We start from the raw sequence: 20,849 nt of genomic DNA on the forward strand, positions 1-20,849 counted from the left end.
AATGCAAAGTCAAAGTCTCCATTAACGAGCGGCTACTCAATACATATTTCTTACTGCTGTCCTTATGTTTATTGTTCATGAAACCACTTTCCGTGTCATGTGCATTCACACACGGCTGCCCCGGCTGGGTGGCTGCAAGAATGACTCTTACCTTTCTATTTCCTACAGCTGGAAAGCCCGGGCCCTTCCTTTTGGTTTCGTATTACCAATCCTCCACCTTGTTTGTAAGTCCTTGTTATGGGGACAGTGCCTTCTTCCCTGTGGAAGTTTCTGCCTCAGTTTCCCTGCCTTCCTCAGCCCTGTAGGCACACCTACCCTGCTGGGCTCTTCCACAAGTTCAGGCCCTGCTTCTGCATCTCACACTTCCCGAGGGCAGGGCTGGGAGGAACCCGGCGAGCACCAGGAGAAGTGGAAGCTTGGTGCCTCTTCTCCCTCAGCCTCCCGGTGCTCCGGGCTCTGCATATGGGCACAGCCAGGAAGTCCAGTTCTCAGGCTTCATGCCCCAAGCCCCATTTCCCCTCCTACCCGGCCATTTGAGTCCCTTGTCAAGCCTCAGGAGACCCCACTGGTGGCTTGGAGCTGGAGGTGGCTGCCCCCAAGTCCAGCCTTGTGGCTGCAGGAAGGAAAGTGTGCTCCTGGCCCCCAGGAGGGACTCAGACAGCATTTCCCCTTGAAACCCTGAGGTACTGGGTGGGCACAGCAGTCCGGCAGTGCTGTGGGTGAGCTGACATCAGGGGCCATCCTGCCACCTGAATCTCCCAGTGTGTATTGTCTCTGTGGGAAAACTGGGTGCAGACACCAGCTGATTTGCAGCCTAACTGACTCCAATGTAAAAATGGACTGTGTCCAGACTCCTTCCCCTTTCCCCCTCTGGTCTAGTAGAACAATGGCTTCTAAAAGGCAAAATGGAATATTTGCAAATACCAAAATGTGCCTTGGACTGTTTGGAAACAATGTTATACTTCTCCTTTTCAGTGTGAACCAGCATTGATTTATATTTCAGCCCAGACCTCCAAGACCTTGATGGGCTTGGCTCCCTTTGCCCTTAGTTCTCTGAGCCTTGCATGTGGGACCCCTTACAAAAGGCTAGGAGGGGCTGGGCCCACCCGACTCTGAGACAGCGTTGCCCTGGTCCCGGCAGATCAAGTAGCCACGGCCTCTGCTCAGAGGCTCAGCTCTGGTCGGCCTGCTTGTCCTTCCCCTCCTCGTGGCTTGGTGACCCTCCTGTGCACTCGGGCCTGGCTTCTTCTCTTATTTAATCAGCATTTGGGTAACTGAAACCTGGTCTCTACCCCCGTAGAACTTTCTGCCTGGGTTTCCCATCCAATACTCTGATGCAGGGTATTTACAATTTTGTAAGGAAGACCCAGGGGATTTCCCAGAGCAAAATGGTGCTGGTCTTTTAAGATGGAAATGTGCATTGTGAGCCCTTGAAAGGAGAGTGAAAAGGGAGGGAGACCTTGCTGTTCAGTCGCCCTGGCCAGGACTTCTCAATGTGTCCTCCGGGTGGATGTGAGGGCGTCGGAGGGGACAGATGCTGGGGAGAGAAGGGCTGATCATGCATCTGAAGTTCATTCAACTACTTTCTATTATACATGGTGAAAATTTGAGGAAATTAGTAAAATCAGAACTAAGGGAAACTGTCAACAGTCCCCCATCACCTGAAGAAAGTCACTTCTCAGGTTTTGGTGTCTGTCCTCCCAGTCTTTCCCCCCTCCTTTTCATTCTTGCGTAGTGGTGATCACTATCGTGGCAGTGATTCAAAACAACTTTCCTTTTTGGGAGGAGGGGAGAGAGATAATTTTATTTGGAAAAAATGGTAAATGCTTGCTATTGTTAAAAAGGTAGAAAATATAGATGAACTATGATGATGCAGTTGGAATGGGGTGATTTCAGAAGTATTTGGTTTCAAAGGAATATTTACAGAGGCATGCTCTGCGTGTAGGAAACTTGGAGTTGAGTAATAACATAGAGCATGTAGCCACTGAAGGGACAAGGGAGGGAGGGACCCAGGGAGGGAGGGGACCCCAGGGCCGAGAAGTAGGGTCATAGGAAGGTTAAGGAGATATCACGCTGGCCACTTGTACGGGCCTCTTCCCAGGCCCTAGGAGAGGCCTCAGGATGTGTTCATGTTAGCAAAGTGTTTGAGAAATTTGCAGAAGTCACACATTTTAGCCAGGATCAGGTTATTCTATTTCTCTTCCCGTTCTTATTTCCTTCTGCACATTGGCCCATGCTTGGTGGTTGGAATGACACTGGCATTTTGTTTATCATGTGATACTCCTTTTCTTACAGGACTACCCTAATTTTGTCCGTTCCAGGCCGCACAACACCTGGCTCCACCTTTGCGGAGGAGATCCAGTTGCCTGCGGTTGGCTGCTTTGCAGTGCACCCTGGGGGGAGGGTGGGAGAGCAGGTGATATCCCTCTCCTCCTCCCCCCTGCTGAGGGCCCCATGGGTGAATCCCACTCCGAAGCCAGAGGCCCCAGGAGCCTTCCAGGCAGACAGTAGGTGGAGGAAGGCAGAGAGTAGACCTGGAGGGGCAGATGGAAGAGCTTGGCTCATCATATGTCCAACGCCTAAGGAAAACCACAGGTGCCATTTGGCAGATATACGCTTACAGTCCCTTAAGGGGAACTCTTTAATTTTGCTTGAGGCAGAAAAAAACAGGACATGGAAAAGCCAATAAAGAAAGGCCAGAGGGAGAGAAAACACATCACCAAGGTTCCCAGCATAGGAGAACATAGGCTGAGCTGGAAAATGACCTGGTTGCTTGGAACAGGATCACAAATTCAGTGAGTTAAGTCACAGATGCAGAAGCACCTGCGTAAAGTCTGAGAACCAAAAAGGAAGCTCCCAATTCCCTGGCCACGGTTGAAGGCACCCATGTGGACCAGCCCCTGAAACCCCTGAAGCTCAGGAGGGTTTCCCGCCATGCGGGAGGGGCACCAGCAAGCCTATGTTCAGAGAAGCTGCGAACTGCGAGTGCTGGGCTTGTGGAGTGAGGCCTCTTGGTTTGTCAGCGTCTGCTGCAGTAAAGGGAGTGGAGTGTCTCAGATGTCTTTAGAAAATGAAAATGTTTTCTTTGGTAATGTTTTGAATATTTCATCTCTACTTGTTTCCGTCATTCTGGGAAGCTTATCCTGTAGTGTTATTTAACAATCTGTTTGCGTAGAGCTTTATTCAGAAAATTGTTTCCCACCTGCTGTCTGCATCGTAGTTGGTGAGGGTCCTGGACAGAGGTTCATGAGGACACAGTACACCAGGAGTGACTCACGAGCCTCAGGGCTGTGTCCTGGGTGGATACAGAGCTCAATCTCATGGAGGAAGATGTCACTGGAAAAAGTCCTAGGTGGCTCTGATATCTGCCCCTCTCCCTTCCTCCCTTCTGGGAAAATAAGTGAGTAAGACATAGTCCCTTAACTTCGAGGGGTTATTAACTCTTCATGCATCTTATACAAATATGTATAATGTGGAGCATCACTAAGGATCCAGAGGGAGCAATCAATTCCAAATAAGAGCTATCCAGGAAGGCATCAGGAAGAAAGTAATATTTAGAAGAAAGGCAGATGTATCAGAGAAGGAAACTCCACAGTAACTTGAACAGGGAATATTTGATTCAAAGAATTTTTAATTATAACAGAGGACTGGAGTAAGGAGGGATTGGCTAGAAAGAAGTAAACAGAACTCTAAGGAAGATGGGATTAGCAGACATAGGAGCAGTCATGACCCCTAGGGCTGAGATAGGGCATCCAGGGAGAAGCCCCTGCCCCCAGGGCTGAGGTTTAGGTTTTGGAGAGAGCACTGCAGCACTCCCTGGGTGCCAGAAACCTGTCCTCTTGGGCACCAAGAAAGCTGTTCATGGGGAAGTGTCTCATTAGAGGCACCCAGCGCAAACAGCAGGGGGTGCAGGGAAGGGTCTGGCTGCCATGCTCTGGGAGAACTGGGCACCAGAGCAGGTGCGAGCAGGGCAGGAGCCCTAGATGCTAACACACCAAACTAGGAAACAAAACCCTTCCTCCTGCTGTATCTCTCTGGCACCCTCTCCTGTCAAGCTTAATATCATGCCAACTGGCATAGTAGAAATAGTTAAAGGGGCCCACACTTATTTTCACAGAACAGGCAAAAAGGGTGCATTTGTAGCTGAGAGGAGGTGAGTCGATAAGCATCAGAGTAGGGGTTCACTGAATGTCAAGTTTGGAAGGGGCTGTAAAGGTCCTATATTCCGTCCCCCGTCCTCAGGGTTTAAATCTCAAATCCTCACATGCCAATCAAGTGGTTGCCAAGCTCATGCTGAGGCATCCACAGCGGCAGGTGGCCTCCACTTCCTGTCTGAGATGCTCAGGAAGTTCCTGCTCACACTGAAGCAGTGCTGCTTCTGGAAATAATGAGGTCTCACCTGACAGCCCTTCAAATACATGAGCCGTTTTTCTGCTGTGCTTTTTCTTTGCTTTTGCTTTGTTTCTTGTAAACTACACATCTTACCTCTGTGACAATTCAGAATCTTCACTCTATACCAATCATGGGCACGAGTACACTTCTATAGGTCTAGGTCTCTGCAGGGGTGGGGAATATCTCCCCTCAAAAACTTGCTCCAGCTGCACTCTGATAGTGCAAAATGGAGCAGGACCATTGGACCGTTTCATATTTTGCCATTTCATCCATAACTGACCCGTTTTGCTGGTCATGGTGATTGATCTAGGGAGTGACTCCTGAGCTGTGTCAGAAATGGGACTAGGAAAGAGAAGTCTATTTTCATACCTGGTCATGAAACTAAGAAGAAATGAGCCCTAAAAGCTGCCTTCAGCTCTGATTCCAGCTTGAGAGGATGCATCCAAGAGGAGAGAGAAGCAGAGAAAAGAAACAGAGAAGACATCCTGATGTCATGACAGCCCCTGGTTCCTGTCATTCCTGAGGCCAGCTCCGCCCTCATTCTGCCTCCATGTGGTTACATGAGCCAGCAGATGCCTACTTTTTTGCTTAAACTAGTTCTAGTTGGGTTTCTGGAAATTACCAACAAATAATATCAACTTACATGGCCTTTTTACCTTAAAGGAAAAAAAAAAAAAAAAGAAGCAGGAGGCATTGGCTCACTCCTTTGCCACAGGGCTTCTGTAGAAGCAAATGTCACTTTAGCTAGAACTGGGAATTTGTTGTGAAGGATGTTTAGGGACAGCGTATTTAGAAACTAAGATCTTGCTCCTCCCCATGTCTTCCCTTTCCTTTCTCAACAATTCAGTCCTAGAGCAAGTAGGTGGGGGCAATCTGCCATGGGAGCCACAGAGGCTCAGAGTGGGGTGAGGAGGGTGTCCAGGGTGGGGGCTCCTGTGTGAGGAGTTAGAGTCCATGTGGGGTGAGGGGAGCATTTTCACAGAAGGATCACCCAGTCGGGGTATCAGGTCCCAGACAGGGTGAGGAGGACATCCACACCAGGGGACCAGGAACTTGGAGGAGTTGGAGCTTGAGCAAGAAGAGGGTGCTTGTGTGCAGCCAGGGTGGCGCTTGCCACGGAGATGGGAGGTCAGTTACTGTGGGAGGCTGGGAGGCTGAATAAGAGCCCCCAGAGAGGTCCACATCTTGAGCTCCAGAACCTGTGAATCGTCCCTTATATGGCAAAAGGGGTGTGATTAAGTTCAGGGTCTTGAGATGGGAGATTATCCTGAATTATCTAGGTGGAGCCACTGTAGTCACAATGGTCCTTATATGACGGGGGCAGGGGGCCAGTAGTAGGCAGTGTGAGGATGCAAGCAGAGGTTGGAGCGATTCGAGGAGGGGCCCAAGCCACAGAATGCAGGTGGCCCCTAGTAGCTAAAAAAGGCAAGAAAGCAGATGCAGCCCCAAAGCCTCCAGAAGGAAGGCAGCCCTGCTGGCACATTGATCTCAGCCCAGGATATCTAGAATTGTAAGGTAATACATCTGTCTTTTTGTTGCTGTTGTTTTTTGAGACGGAGTCTCACTCTGTTGCCCAGGCTGGAATGCCATGTTGTGATCTCCGCTCACTGCAACCTCCACCTCCCAGGTTCAAGTGATTCTCCTGCCTCAGCCTCCCAAGTAGCTGAGATCACAGTGCCCACCACCATCCCTGGCTAATTTTTGTATTTTTAGTAGAGACGGGGTTTCGCCATGTTGGCCAGGCTGATCTCGAGCTCCTGACCTCAGTTGATCCCCCCACCTCAGCTTCCCAAAGTGCTGGGATTACAGACATGAGCCACTGCACCCGGCCATTTGTCTTGTTTTAAGCCACTAACATTATGGTGATTTGTTTCAGCAACAATAAGACGCTAATAAAGTTACATCCAATGGGACTGAGCAAATAAATAATTATAACGAGGACAATGGAAGCTAGGTCTCTCACTATGGAGAAAGGAGTTACAAACATGGAAATGGAGAAAACTTGAATGAATTTTGTATAATGGATTGGAATTAGAGATGCTGGTGGGAACCAATTACTGTTAATACAGATATGTGCATATATATTTTCATGTGAACGTATGTGTGTGTGTGTGTGTGTGTGTGTGCATACGTATAGATGTCTTGGCTTTTACCACTGAGAGAGCCTGGAAGTTGCAACACACCAATAGCAAGGAGCACACTTTGCACCCAGATCTTGGCTTCTAAATCTTGTTTTCCACAAAGGCTCCTTGGAAAGGCAGATTCCAGGGAATCTTAAATAAAGTGCAAGATGAGCCCACACTGACTTTTTGTGCCAGAAAATGAGGAAGTATTCAAAGAATGATGGCCATATATTGAAAGGACATAGAGGCTAGCCCCCACTGGCCAAATCAGGAATAATCTGAGCTGTCAACTAAATACTGAGAGTAATGGATTATAACTCACGAAATAGAACAGTAAACCACAAGTTCATACAGATGGAAATAAACAGATGAATAAATTGAAAGTTTGAGAATGAGATATTTGCATACATTTAAAGAATCTTCCTTCAAAATACTTATTAATGACATAGAGAAAAGGGAGTGGAACAGCCTGACAGCCAGTTCCAATCACAGCAAACATCATCAGTCATGGGACAAATTGGTGTTGGTGACCACTGGATGGGTTGCCATGAGAACACACCCTCACTTCTATGATATGCATGCCAGAAACGTGAGACCTGAATCTTATCTTAAGGAACGATCAGACACACCCAAATGGAAGGATATTCTACAAAATAATCAACCTGTTATGTTCAGATGTGTCCAGGTTATGAAAGTCAAGGGAAGACTGAGAAACTGGGCCAGACTGAAGGAAACTGCAGAGACCAGCAACTAAAGGCACCACGTGATTCTGAGGAGTCTTTCTCTAGAACAGACACGCTCGGGATAGTTGTGATGCAGGGCAGGTTCTTGGCTTTGCTCAGGAAAGAACTCAACAGTCAGCTGGTGGTGGAAAAAAGCAGCTTTATTGAGTCCGGCAGTGATGCATCTCCGTGCCTGCTCCTTGGGGAGCAGGGCAACCCTATAGGCAGTGCGTGGAGAGTAGTAGCCTATGGGCCGCTGCTAGTCATATTTCCATCCACTGTTAATGACATGCTAATGAAGGGGCGGGTCATTCAGAAATAGCTAGGAAATGGGTGGTAACTTCCGGCTGTTGCCATGGCATTGGTAAACTGTCATGGTGCTGGCAGGAATGGCTAAGGGTGATGGGCAGCGAGAACAACCAGAGGCGCTTTTTGTGTCTTTTTCTAGTTTTGGCCTGTTCTCAATCTGGTCTGGGAGACGAATCCTGCTGACCTCCTACCTCTGCTGGCAAAACTCGAGTGGGGTCTGGGAACTTGAAGGAAGGAAAGTGTTGATGCTAACTTCCGGATTTTGTGGTTACATTGGGATAAAGCGGGAGAATATCCCTATTTGTGGGAAATACACACAAGTATTTTGAGGGTGACAGGATATGAGTTCAGCAACCTTCTCTCAAATGGTTCAGGGAATAAAGATTCTTTGTTCTTTACCTTGAAATTTTTCTCTAAGTTTATGGTTATTTCAAAATAAAAAGGAAGGAAGGGTCTCTCTTATTAATTAATTTTGTCTCACGTTGTTTTAAGCTCTTTAGAGTGTTTTCAAATGTAAGTGGAAACGAAAAAAATATAACTATTAGCATATATAAAATTTAAATCTTAAAACCATGATCAACCCAAATAATTGTAGTAGATATATTGAGATATTTATTCTTTAATTCCCTGCAGGACTTAGATATTTTTAAGCTGAATCATTTTTATGTTTTGAAGCTAAAATCTATATATTGATGTTTGAGGAGTGTGAAATCACAATACTTCAGAATGTTACCAACTTTTCATAAAAATGTGACCTGGGTTTGACCCTATGTGTTTAGTAGCCCATTAGGCCCTCTGTGCTTTGATATACTCTCATGGCAAAAGTTTCCTGGCCTTACTCAGAGATCAGAAAAATTCTTTTCTGTGTCAAACTTTACAATGAAGTGAAAGTAGAGAAAGTAATGCTTCACTCAGAACTTTCTATTCGGGGTTTTTTCTTTTCTTAAGAAAGCGAAAGCTGAGAATGAAAAATTTCAAATATAGGTAACAGCAAGTAATATAAAGTATGCCTATGTACTCACCAATAAGGTCTAACAATTGTGAATATTTTTGCCTAAAAAATAAAAATATTGTAGAGACGTTGAAAATATTCCTATGTATTTCCCTCCATCTCATTTCCCTCTCTCTGCCTGCCCCAGGGTAACCTCTGTCCTCAAGTTGGTACATAGCCTTTCTTCCATCTGTGGTTTTTTGTATAGCTCTACAAACAATATGTGCTTTGCTTTGAGTGCTTAGAACTGTACCTAAATAGTATCACTTTATCTGAACATTCTGCAACTTGCTTTTTTTATTGGGGTAAAATTTAATGAAAAGCACAGATCTTAACTGTACAGTTGATGTCCTTTGATAAATGTGTATACCCACATAACCACTCCTCCAGTGGGAACACAAAACATTTCCAGCACCCCCAGAAAATTCCCTTCCAGTCTGTCCCCACCTCTAGAGATGACTATTTGATTTCCGGCACCACAGATTAATATGACTGTCCTTCAACCGTCACATGGTGTTTTTGTCAAACAACAATTGACCATAGTGTGTGAGTCTATTTTTGGACTCTCTATTTTGTTTCCTTGCTCCGTTTGTCCTATTGAAAATACCACACTAGGTCCATTAATATAGCTTTATAATAAGTCATGAAATTGCAAACTGTGAGTCTTTCAACACTTTCCATTTCAAGAGAGTGTTAGCTATTTTTAGGTTCTTTGCATTTCAATAAAATTTAAAATCAACTTGCCAATTATGACAAAAAGAAATTTCTGGGATTTTGATTAGGACTACATTGAATCTATGGAGCAATTTGGGAGAGCACTGACATTAACAACATTTATTTCAAATCTTTTGAATACATATCCAGAAGTGGGATTGCTGGATTATATGGTAGTTCTATTTTTAATTTTTTTTGAGGAGCCCCATATAGTGTCCCATAGTGGCTGCACCATTTTGCACCCCTGCCAACAGTGTGTAAGGGTCCCAATTTCTCCACGTCCTCACCAGCACTTGTTGCCTTTTTTTTTTTTTTTTTTTGTAAAGGCCATCCTGATAGGTGTGAGGTGATATTTCATTGTGATTTTGATTTACATTTTCCTGATGACTAGTGACATTCAGCCATTAGTCTTGAGTTCGATGATCTTTTTTCATATGCTGATTTGACATAGGCATGTCTTCTTTGGAGAAATGTCTATTCAAGTCCTTAGCCCGTTTTTAAATTAGACTATTGTTCTTTTTTTCCCTGTCGAGTTGTAGGAGTTTCTTATATATTTTAGAGATTAACCCTTTACCAGATAAATGGTTTGCACATATTTCCCCCCATTCCATAGGTTGCCTTTTTACTCCATTGATTGTTTCCTTTGCTGTGCAGGTTTTTAGTTTGATATAATCTCAGTTGTTTATTTTGTCTTTCGCTGCCCGTGCTTCTGATGTCATTGCCAAAATCAATGTCATGAAGCTTCTCCCCTTTGTTTCCTTCTAGGAGTTTTACAGCTTCAGATCTGGGTATTTATCCAAAAGACTTGAAACTGGGGTCCTGAGGAGATACAAACACTTCTCAGTTCATTAAAGCACTATTCACAGTATCCAAGGTAAGGAAACAGCCTAAATGTCCTTTGTCAGGTGAATGGATAAAGGAAATGTGGTATATACATACAACAAAATATTACTCCGTCTTAATAAAGAAGGAAATTCTGATATACGTGACAACATGAATGAAACTTGACATTTTGCTAAGTGAGAGAAGCCTGTCACAGAAAGACAAATACTCCATGATTCCATGTATATGAGGTAGCTAAAATAGTGAATCTCATAGAATCAAAGAGTGGAATGATGGTTACTAGAGGCGAGAGTTTGGGGGATGGGAATTACTAATCAGTAAGCATAAAGTTTTGATGTATAAATGTATAACATTATATCTAGTCAACAATAATATATTGTACACTTAAAAATTTGTTGAGAGGGTAGATCTCCTTTTAAGTGTTCTTACCACATTAAAATAAAATCTAAAAAAAGAAGAGTATGGAAAGAAAATAACAACACAAGTGAGTCTCCCAATCCATGAACAAGATCCTTCTCCATTTATTTTATTTTTCTTTAATTTCCCTCGGTACTATTTTTGTTGTTTTCAGTTTAGAGGTCATGACTGTCGTTTGTTAAATCTATTCCTATGAATTTTATGTGTTTCAAGGTGATATATACAAACACAATTGACTTTTTTTTTTTTTGAGACGGAGTCTCATTCTGTTGCCCGGGCTGGAGTGCAGTGGCACGACCTCCGCCTCCTGGGTTCAAGCGATTCTCCTGCCTCAGCCTCCTGAGTAGCTGGGATTACAGGTGTGTGCCACCATGCCTGGCTAATTTTTGTATTTTTAGTAGAGATGGGGTTTCACCATGTTGGCCAGGCTGGTCTCAAACCCCTGATCTCTGGTGATCCACTCACCTTGGCCTCCCAAAGTGCTGGGATTACAGGCGTGAGCCACTGCACCTGGCCGCATGACTGACTTTTGTATACTGAGTTTGTATTGTTCGGATTTTCTAAATTGGCTTATTAGTTTTTGAAGTTGTTTTGTACACTCATCAGGATTTGCTGCATAAATAATCCTGTCAACTGATAATAAAAGTTGTTTTACATCTTTCTTTCCAATCCATATGGCTTTTATTTCTTTTCTTCTTCCTTGTGCATTAGCTAGAGATTCTAGTACACTGTTGAAGGGAAATGGTGAAAATGAATATCCTTGCTTTGTTCTCCATTTTAGAAGTGAAGTGTTCAACCACTGAGTATGATGTTGGCTCTAAGTATTCATATGAGGCCTACGTCAAATTCATACATGTCGAATATCAAATTGGGGAAGTAAGTCAAATCAAAATCATTCTATTTTTAGTGCACGTGAAGTTGTTATCATGAATTGATTTTGAATTTTGTCAAATGCTTTATTTTATTAATTTAGCAAGTTATACTATTTTCAAATGTTAAACCTATTTTGCATTTCAGGTATAAATCCCACTTAGTCACAGTATATCGTACATATGTTGGATTTGCTTTGCTTTTTTATTTTTAAAAGGGTTTTATGTCTCTCTTTATGAAGGATATTGGTCTATAATGTTTTCTAGTAATGTTCAGTTATTTTCAGTTTGGGTCTCTCATAAATAGTCCTGCTGTAAACATTTTTGAGTATTTCTTCTGGTGCAATGTATACAACTTGAAGTTGGGCATGTACCTTGCAGTGAAGTTTCTGGGTCACAAGGTAAGAGTATGTTCAACTTTAGTGAATACTGCCAAAGTGGACATGCCAATTCACATTCCTACCTCCAGGGACAGCAGTGTCCCTCAGAGTGTGGACTATGAGCTATTTGTTATTAGACTGCAACGAGATAAGTTCAGAAATTAAGCGTCAGCATTTAGAAACTTTTATAGAAATTTGATGTTGCTTTGACATACAAATACATAGGCTCTTCTCGTCCAGCAGTGCATTGACCAGTTTGGATACTGTCACACTTGCATTATGAGGCGGGTGTGGGAGGAGCTTCACGTGCAATGGGGACCATGTGTTTTGGTCTGCAACGGAAATTTAAAAGGAAAGAAAGGCTGGTCTGTCACCATGTAGCGCTGGAGAAGCACTGGTGCATGAGAATTCTGGTGGTTCCACATCCTTGTTCACATTCAGTAATTTTCATGTAAGCCCTTCTGGTTGGTGTGCAGTTGGATGGCATTGTGACTACAGTTTGTATTTCCCCAATAACTAAGGAAGTTGCCCAGCCTTTTCATAAGTGTATTGGTTTCATATGTGTATCTGCATATTCCTAGGTGTGAAGTACTTCCAATTTTCAAAGTATATGTGTTAAGTTTTCCTAAAACATTTACCCTGGATACTGTCCCCCTGCCCTACTCCCATATTTCCATGATGAAGCAGGTGGGCAAAATAGGGAGAGGACAAAAACCTGATTCACAAGTGTCATTCACCTGACTTTATTCATTTAGTCAATATTTATGGGCATCCGGCACGCGCCAAGCACAGTGTGTGGAAGCAGGGATGCAGCATTGAATAGAATAGCAATGTTCTTGCCCTCTAGGGATTTATACTCCAGTTGGGGAGAAGATAGATAGTGCACTGATACCTTTGGATAGTAGTAAGTGCCACGAAAAAATAGGATAAGAAGAGAGTAACTAGGATGGGAAGATTCTTTGGTTAGAATGTCGAAAGAAGGTTTTCTAAAGCAATTATATTTAAGCCTGCATCAAAATAATAAGGAGGTGGCCACATAACAGGCCAGAAAGAGAATTCCAGGAAATGAGAGGTGCAAAGGCCCTGAGGTAGAAGCAGAGTGGTCTGAGGATTAATTAGAGAGCACTCCTCCACTTTGGTCAAAATTGACATGAGAGATGCCATAGACAGTGCGGTGGATACTGGTGTTGCTGTTCCCAGATTCCGGGACCCCCTTAGGTTCTGATGTGCCTCCCCTCCACCGTTAACGTGGGTTTACTGCCCAGACTTGCGACTGGAACTGACCCTTGAGAGACTGTCTGTAGGTGGGTTACTGCAGCCGCTGTGCCCCCACAGGCTGTGATCAGGAAGTATCTGAGGGGCTGCACCCTCCCTCCTACCACCCAGCAGCCCTAATCCAGTAGTTGGAGGATGTAGGGGTATGAAACTCCAGCCCCTGTGACAGCAGCTGGGGTGAGGCAGGAGAATAGGGTCTGGAGACAGGGAGCCTAAGGCCCACCGGCCTCTGACTTCTTGGAATTGGACCGAAAGGAAAACTCCACCTTTCCATGCCCCTGCGACAGGGGCCAGAGGCCCCTCCCTCTGCAAAAACCCCCTCTCGGGAAATGCCTCTGATTGGTCAGAGGCCAAGCTTCACTTCAGCCTGATTGGTCACAGGCCAATCCTTCATTGGCATGAGGTGTAACCCAGTTGGAGGACTCTATTGGAGGCCTCTAAAGGGTACCTAGGGGTGTTACCAAATTCTTCTAGTTTAATAAAAACCCTAAAGAACATTGCAACTGGGGCTCTTGAGCCACCTGATGGATCCTGCTCCCACTCTGTGGAGTGTAGTTTCACTCAATACATTTGTGCTTTTGTTGCTTCGTTCTTTTGTTGCTTTGTTTGTGCATTTTGCTCAATTTTTGTTCAATGTGCTAAGAACCTGGATCACTCAGTGAAGACCTTCTATCTGGCAACAGGGGCAAACTCAGGGTGTCATTCAGGCTCAGAGAGCCATGGGGATCACACTGAGGCTGAGATTTAGCCAGAAATCATACCCTTGGTTGCCCTTTTCTCTTTTCCTTCCTAGTTTTTTTTTTTTTTTTTTTGAAAGCACTTCCTTAATAAATCAGTTGTCCCTGAACTCTTACCTTAGGGTCTACTTTTAAGACTTAAAAAAGTCTGCAGTCTTAGGACTTAACACCCTCTGCTATAGGTTTCTACAATTGTTTTTCTTTTAAGAATATATTTTTTCTGTGGTACTAGGTAAAAGCATGTGCCATGAAATCGGGCACGCTTGGATTGGAACGCCATGGCCATTCAGTCACAGCCACCCTTAGGCAGGTCACCTGGTCTCTCTGGGCCTCAGTTTCCTCAATTACAAAAGTGGGACAAAGACAGTGCCACCTTTATGGCTGCTGTGAAGATAAAATGAAAGAAGATAGGCAACATACTTAACAGAAAGATGGGAAAACATGAACACTCAGATTTACCTATGACTATAAAACCTTTCTAAACTTCATCAGAGAGTTCAAAAATGTTGTCAAGCCTTGGAACGTATATCTGTTGCATTCCTTTAAAACTGTATGCTATCACTGGAATTTGGCTGGGGACAGAGGAGAGAAGCGGAAGAGAAATAGCCATTCTAGATACCTGCAAGAAACCACTCATGTGCATCCTCTCGTTTAATCCTGACAAGCACCCAGCTAGAATAGAAGGCTCTATTATAATTATAAAGATAGGAACCTAACATTCAAAGAGGCTGTTATCTGAGGAGACATGGTGTTGAAGAGGTTAAAATATGCGATTCCAGCGTATTGACTAAGTTCAACACTTTAAAAACAGCAGGTGCAACAAGATGACTTTGACCTTCCTGCTGTTTCTTAAAAGCAGAGGGTGAAATTCCTATGTGAAAGATGCCCTCCCTAGATGATGCAACATTTTTATATAGTCAAAGTCGAAACTGGGAGAGTTCTGTACAGATCTTGTTAAAAATAACTCTTATCTTTTAAGCCTCTCCATATAATTTAGTGGCTTCTTCACAACTAACTCTTCTCTGTCCAATCCACTACATAATTAACTGACTTTAGCTACTTCTTTGGGGTCTTCATTTCTTTATGAGGGCTCCTGTGCTGCGTGAAGTTTGTATTAAGTTTTTCTCCTGTTAATCTATCTTATGTGGATTAAATTCTTGGACTCAGCTGGGACCCTAAGAGGAGGGAGGTAGACTTTTCCCACCCCTACAGTGTGTATATATCAGGGTTCCAAGCCAGGTTGTCTGGACAGAGGAACCCAATTCCCTTGAGTTGAGGGGCTGTCTTTGCTTTTAAGCCGTTGCCCTGCAGAAGGGGCTTGGTGTTGCGGTTATTCTGGGGGAGCGTCCAGTCCCAGGTGAAATGACTCCTGCCATGCCCAGCTACCAGATAATGAAGCTTCTTCCCAGGGTCACAACTCCAAGAATGAGGAACGCCTCGTCCTCAGGCCAGCGGCGCAGCTGAGCCTCTCTGGGCTCATATCACAGTCACCATAACTGCACTGTCTCCACTCTAACGGGGCTCCCAGATCACAGACCCTACCGGCCGCCGCTCTGGCCCGCCAGGATCCTCACGCTTTTAAGTCAGGTGCGGTTTCTGGAAGAAGCCTGGTGGTGCCACATCTACAGGCGAATCAGATCCCAGAGCAGACAGAGCTGACCACCTGCCCTGTGGGGCGTGCAACCCCAGGTGCAGATTACAGACAGGGAAGGAGGGAGGAGCTTAGCTGAAACCCCTTCCTGACCCCTTTCCAATAAGCACTCAGGGGTAGCAAAACATCCAGGAACTTTTAGTTCTGGGTCAGCTGGGACAGCGGTAGGGACAGCGTCCTGTTCGTGCCTTCTCTGAGTTTTCTATTAGGTGCCACCAAACACATTCCCACCCAAAAGAACCATTATATTGGACCTTACTGAAAAGGTTAAAATATGCATTCTGGCATGGTAACTGTTTCAGTGAAAGGCACTTGAAAAACAGCAGGTGCAAGATCACTCTCCCCATAGCAGAAGGAAGACAGCATCCTTATCCTTAGGACTAGAAGCTGCCAGCTAAAGAATACTGCAGAGCGTCACTCTAATCTTTTTAGTCACATTTTCAAAGTTTATTCTTCTCTGTTTAATCCAGTATTTAAGTAGTGGACGCGAACTGCTTGCTCGGGTCTGTCCCTCTTTCCTTCCTTTCCTTCCCTTCCTTCCTTCCTTCCTTCCTTCCTTCCTTCCTTCCTTCCTTCCTTTTCTTTGCTAGGGCCTGCCTTTCTCTGTTGCTTTCTTTCTTGCTTTCTTTGTTCGGGTCGTCATCTCTTTCCTCTTTCTTTCTTTCTTTTCTTTCTTTCTCTCTCTGTCTTTTCTTCCTTTCTCTCTCTGTCTCTCCCTCTTTCTTTCTTTCCCCAAGGAGGATTTGCCTGCCTGCCTGCCTGCCTTCCTTCCTTCCTTCCTTCTTTCCTTCCTTCCTACCTTCCTTCCTTCCTTCCCCCTTCCCTTCTTTTTCTTTTGACAGAGTCTCACTCTGTCACCCAGGCTGGATTGCAATGGTGCAATCCCGGCTCACTACAACCTCCGCCTCCCGGGTTCAAGCGATTCTCCTGCCTCCCGAGTAGCTGGGATTACAGACGCGCGCCACCGCGCTGGGCTAATTTTTTGTATTTTTTAGTAGAGATGGGGTTTCACCATGTTGGCCTGGCTGGTCTCGAACTCCCGACCTCGCGATCCGCCCGCCTCGGCCTCCCAAAGTGCTGGGATTACAGGCCTGAGCCACCGCGCCCGGCCGGGTCTGCATTTCTGTATGAGGGCTCCCATGCCGCGTGAAACTTGCACTATGCTTTCCTCCTATTCATCTATCTTATGTCAATTTAATTCTCGGACCCAGCCGGGACCCCTAGAGGATGGAGGTGGAGTTCTGCCCTTACACTGAAAGCACAATCTTCCAAAAGCAGAGACACTCTTCAAAACTTTGAAAAGAGACTTTTAGGTCCTAGGGCAATGGAATCTCGTTTTCTCAAAAAGCCCTGCTTGCTTACCCTCTCGTTTTCCCCCAGGCCTGTTTTCTGGGACAGGGTGGGAGGCCCAAGGAGACAGCCAAGTTCAGGCCCCAAGCACCCAGCTCCTCCTCCCAGGGTGGGAGCCTGGCCAGAGTTCCCGACCCACCCCGCCCCATTCCCCGCTGGCGCTTGGTCCGCCCCTCCCCGTCTGGAAGCCTCCAGCAGCCCCGCCCGGCGGAACTAGGGGACGGGTGGGGGACGTCGAAGGGCGAGGGCGGTGACCCCGGGGCCAGAATTCTCGCAGGCGCCTGGGCCGGGTGCCCGGCCGTGCGTGAGTGCGGAACAAGTCTGGGCGCGGGGAAGGGCGTGGGTGCGGGCCGTGGGTGGGTGCGGGGCAGGGCGCGGGGCTGTGGGAGGGCGCGAGGCCGTGTGTGGGTGCGGGGCTGGGTGCAGGCCGTGGGTGGGCGCGGGGCCGGGGCTGGCGGGGCAGGGCGCAGGCTGCTGCAAGGCGGCCTCGTGGATTCTGGCCCCGGACGCACGAAGCGGGTTCTACTTTTTAAAAAAACTGCGTTGCCTTTTCCTTCCTCTACGTTAGCATCCTGTCCGGGGTCCCCGGCCCATGTGGCCTTTCTTCCAGCGACAGTACACTTAGCTCAGAACGGATTGACACCCACTCTGTGTTTCCACCGGGCGCGCAGGCTCTGCAATGCGGAGCGCGTTCTCTGAAGGACAGGCCCCGGAGTCACGGCTACAGCCACAGAAAGCGGAAACCGAGCTGCAGTCCAGAGGGGATCCCCGTACATTTCCAGCGGGCTCAGACACAGGGTCCCCCACAAGAAAGAAACAGGACAGAAAAAGTCAGGACACGTATGCTGTGGAGAGTCGAGGTCTCGCCTAGATCTTGGGTGTGGGTAGACGCAGCCGCTGGCAGTTTTCCTTTCCAGCGTCTCTGGGGAGCCTGGAGATGTCCTTGGTGCCGATGTGACACGAAGAGTGATTGCGCCGCCCTGCAGAGGCGGTGGCGGGACGCTGCGCTCGGGCTGGGAAAGGCCGGCCCCAGGGCGACCCCTCCGGAGGCCCCCGGAGAGCAGGTGTGCACCTCGCCTCCCGCTGGGCAGCCAGTTCAGGAGAAAAATGTGAAGCTTTTAGCTAAACAAAATATTTCTTTCGTTAAGGGCTTTCTCCACACGGAGACTTTCTAGCCACGTGAGACTTTGACCTCCCAGTCCCCCAGATTCAGCGCTGGGACCGAGCGTCTGCTGTTATTTTTAGTAGAAGTATAAAAAGAATCTCGAAAAGTTTTAGCTCTGGAGAAGGCGTGAATACAGCTGGTGCCTTCATACACTCCACTTGAGCCGCTCTTTAAGAACTCCAGGAGATCAGAAAGCAATACGAAAGCCAGAGCATTGCACATGGGATGGGCTGGCGGGTGGCCTTTGGGTCCCTATCTTATGGACGATTTTTGTAAATGGGGCATTGGAGATGAGTATCACCTGGATCACATTTTTAGGTTGAATTCCTCCGTGGGGGGAACTTTAGCAATACGCATCCAAATAAGAATGTAGATTGCAATAATTGTAGTAAAGTGTTTGCCAGACTCATCTCAGAAAAAGACATTATCAAAAGGCATTTATTATCTTCCTAATGCGTGTCTGGCACTGGGCAGACACTGTAGAATACTATCTTGATTAGAGTCTCAAGGATTTTGTACTTAAAGTCCTTTACAAATAAAAGTATTCAAGTATAATCTATTATAAAGACTCTTTTCTCCACTTTGGGGATATACGGTGTGGCATCGATTCATTGGTCATACCAAAACTGTTACTTCTGTTTTGGAGGAATTAACAAGGAAAACCCAGGCTTAGTAAATCAACATCGAAGTTCAGAAGTTCAGAGTAATTTGTCTTGGGAACAAAGTCCTCCCTAGAGCGAAGAGGCATTCACAGGAGCTCTTGGTGTTAATGGGATTATTCAAGATATACCTGAGACCAGATAAATATTTGATGATTTTGCCAAGCACTAGGGTTTCTTTGCAGTTTGTCTTTGGCTGACGTTTTCCCCCCGTGGGGTTTGGACTTTGTGGCTTCACCAGATTTTGCAAATGAAAGAAGGCTGGGGTTTCCCAAGAGTACACTTGTGCAGGAAACAACAGACTAGTGAGGTTTACAAGAGGGGGGTGTGTGTGTGTGTGTGTCTGCCTGTGGGATGGGGGTGGCACGGGGGAGAGAGAGATGTGGGTTACAAAGCTGCCATCTAGAGGCTAGAGGCTCCTTTCTGCAGTGTATATAATGCAAGTCTGCAGCCAGCAGAGCTCACAGTTGTTGCAAAGTGCTCAGCACTAAGGGAGCCAGCGCACAGCACAGCCAGGAAGGCGAGCGAGCCCAGCCAGCCCAGCCAGCCCAGCCAGCCCGGAGGTAAGGAAACGGTGCTCGGGCAGCAGCTCTGCTCGGAAAGAAGGCACGGCTTCTGCTCTTAAGCCAAGTGGTCTTTTCAAAGGCCTTCTTTAAAATCGCTCAGATGGGTGCTTTTGAGTCTGCGGGTCTGGTTTCTGAAAACCCAGGCTGCACGCAGCTGCATTGCAAAGTGCTTTTGCTAATTCGGAGGGCTTCACCTTTCTCTTCAGAAAGCAAAGGGCAGTTTTCTTAAGTCACTTGCAGAAGGAAATTTCCATGTGTATTTAGGAATCTGGTGTTTATTTGCTGTGTGGCTATTTAAGCTCCAGTAAGCAGGGGAACTTTGCAAGAACACAGACTATCCATTCTGCCTGACCAATTTGGCATGGGGATTAGCTTGGCACCCACTGTTTACCTGTTTTGCTTCTAGTATATCAGTTTGGAAACAGATAAAATTGGCAGTAAATACGTAATTCCAGAATGATGAACACTTTATTAAGAGGCATCCTTAAATGGAGCAGAAAACTGCTGAGAATCTTTGTGAGTCCAAGATGTATTTGAATTCAGTACTTTGGGGGATTTACCAGAGTCTGTAAGTCCGGAAGCTATAAACGTGAATGTTAAACACAGCCCGGTCTTCTCTTCTCTTGATGGCACGCTTGCTAATCTAATTTGAGTATTGTTCTCTTAGAAGGTGTTAAGTCCAACTTCAATTGGGGTTGGGGGAAGCACACACACAAATCTACTATTTTGCAATTTAAATATACTCTTCAGGTAAAATGTGGATTTTGTTCAATTTTGTTGGCATGTGCAAAGATTCAAGGAGTGACTGAGAGAACTTTGGAGTGAGGTCAGGGATGGGTGGTTAGCCAAGACTTGTAACTTCCAGGGAGAATGAGAAGTTGTAAAAGTCAGACTGGCTGTCTCTCTTTCTCTCTTCCTCTTTCTTTCTTTCTTTCTTTCCTTTTGCTCACAACAGGATTACTTAGTGTTTCAAAAGTGGGAGAGAGCCTCCTTAAATGGTTTACAGCCCTTTGAATGTATTTGGTGCAGTGACATCCCCTGAAACTTCAGTCTGCAAAGTCTCAACATGGTAACTTTGTTCTTTTCTTTTTTAAAGGCAGATGCTGCTTTTAGTGTCCCTTTATTTATTCCAGGAAAAATGTGGACATCAGCTAGGCACGCCTAGCAAAGAAAGTGGAGGCTGCTGGTTTCTGTGCTTTAACTTTCCATAGATTTTAAATGGATAAACTGCTTGCCCTTCTTTCATCAGAATATGAGCTTTCCCCAGATGGAAAGTCTTTTCTAAAGCAAAGTTGCACATGGGAGCTCTAGCTTGGAAACAATTTGCTCTTTTTTCCCCAGTCTCTGCCATAAACACTTGAATGTGCACACAACTGCAGAGCTTAATGCCACAACCTCCAGGAGATTGGGGGGAGGGGAAAGCTGCCCAGGATGGGGGTGGGAAAGCGAAGGAAGATGGAGAAATGGCTGCAGTTTGCTGCCCATCAGCTTTTCTCTTTTAAGGGGCAGACATTGCAGACGTAGTTTTAAAAAAGTTCCATAAAGCATCGCCAAGGCAGCATGCCTGTGCGACACACGCAGGGCTTTGGGGGTGTGTTTTCCCCGTATTAACAGCAAGTCGTTGAAGCGTTGAGAAGGTATTATGATTTCTAATCAGGCCCAGAACAGGCCAAGTATAGGCTTTCT

General features: G+C 45.9%; 1 protein-coding gene across 5 annotated transcripts in view, besides 7 other annotated features; it reads left to right on the forward strand.

Annotated features, from left to right (window-relative positions):
* Positions 1-20,849, forward strand: part of ACKR3 (atypical chemokine receptor 3) — a 45,233-nt gene that overhangs the window by 13,643 nt on the left and 10,741 nt on the right. For 2 of the 5 annotated variants that reach the window (XM_047445136.1, XM_005246097.4), the window contains exon 1: positions 17,038-17,077. The gene's annotated coding sequence lies outside the window, so the exon portion shown is untranslated. Of the gene's footprint in view, positions 1-10,016; positions 10,126-17,037; positions 17,078-17,341; positions 17,838-19,060; positions 19,161-20,849 lie in introns of those variants that run through there. The other 3 variants (XM_047445135.1, XM_005246098.4, NM_020311.3) reach the window with 3 other exon arrangements.
* Positions 73-863: an enhancer, noted in NCBI's record as "H3K4me1 hESC enhancer chr2:237459480-237460270 (GRCh37/hg19 assembly coordinates)". NCBI's record gives its function as "activates a minimal SCP1, AML or CMV promoter by ChIP-STARR-seq in primed H9 embryonic stem cells {active_cell/tissue: H9 hESC(primed)}" and the evidence as "EXISTENCE:reporter gene assay evidence [ECO:0000049][PMID:30033119]".
* Positions 1,113-1,342: an enhancer, noted in NCBI's record as "active region_17360". NCBI's record gives its function as "activates an Ori minimal core promoter by ATAC-STARR-seq in GM12878 lymphoblastoid cells {active_cell/tissue: GM12878}" and the evidence as "EXISTENCE:reporter gene assay evidence [ECO:0000049][PMID:35858748]".
* Positions 2,964-3,103: an enhancer, noted in NCBI's record as "active region_17361". NCBI's record gives its function as "activates an Ori minimal core promoter by ATAC-STARR-seq in GM12878 lymphoblastoid cells {active_cell/tissue: GM12878}" and the evidence as "EXISTENCE:reporter gene assay evidence [ECO:0000049][PMID:35858748]".
* Positions 3,124-3,213: an enhancer, noted in NCBI's record as "active region_17362". NCBI's record gives its function as "activates an Ori minimal core promoter by ATAC-STARR-seq in GM12878 lymphoblastoid cells {active_cell/tissue: GM12878}" and the evidence as "EXISTENCE:reporter gene assay evidence [ECO:0000049][PMID:35858748]".
* Positions 16,546-17,421: an enhancer, noted in NCBI's record as "H3K27ac-H3K4me1 hESC enhancer chr2:237475953-237476828 (GRCh37/hg19 assembly coordinates)". NCBI's record gives its function as "activates a minimal SCP1, AML or CMV promoter by ChIP-STARR-seq in primed H9 embryonic stem cells {active_cell/tissue: H9 hESC(primed)}" and the evidence as "EXISTENCE:reporter gene assay evidence [ECO:0000049][PMID:30033119]".
* Positions 17,071-17,120: a silencer, noted in NCBI's record as "silent region_12476". NCBI's record gives its function as "represses an Ori minimal core promoter by ATAC-STARR-seq in GM12878 lymphoblastoid cells {active_cell/tissue: GM12878}" and the evidence as "EXISTENCE:reporter gene assay evidence [ECO:0000049][PMID:35858748]".
* Positions 17,422-18,297: an enhancer, noted in NCBI's record as "H3K27ac-H3K4me1 hESC enhancer chr2:237476829-237477704 (GRCh37/hg19 assembly coordinates)". NCBI's record gives its function as "activates a minimal SCP1, AML or CMV promoter by ChIP-STARR-seq in primed H9 embryonic stem cells {active_cell/tissue: H9 hESC(primed)}" and the evidence as "EXISTENCE:reporter gene assay evidence [ECO:0000049][PMID:30033119]".

Source organism: Homo sapiens, chromosome 2 (genome assembly GCF_000001405.40).
Source record: "Homo sapiens chromosome 2, GRCh38.p14 Primary Assembly".
NCBI lineage: Eukaryota > Metazoa > Chordata > Mammalia > Primates > Hominidae > Homo > Homo sapiens.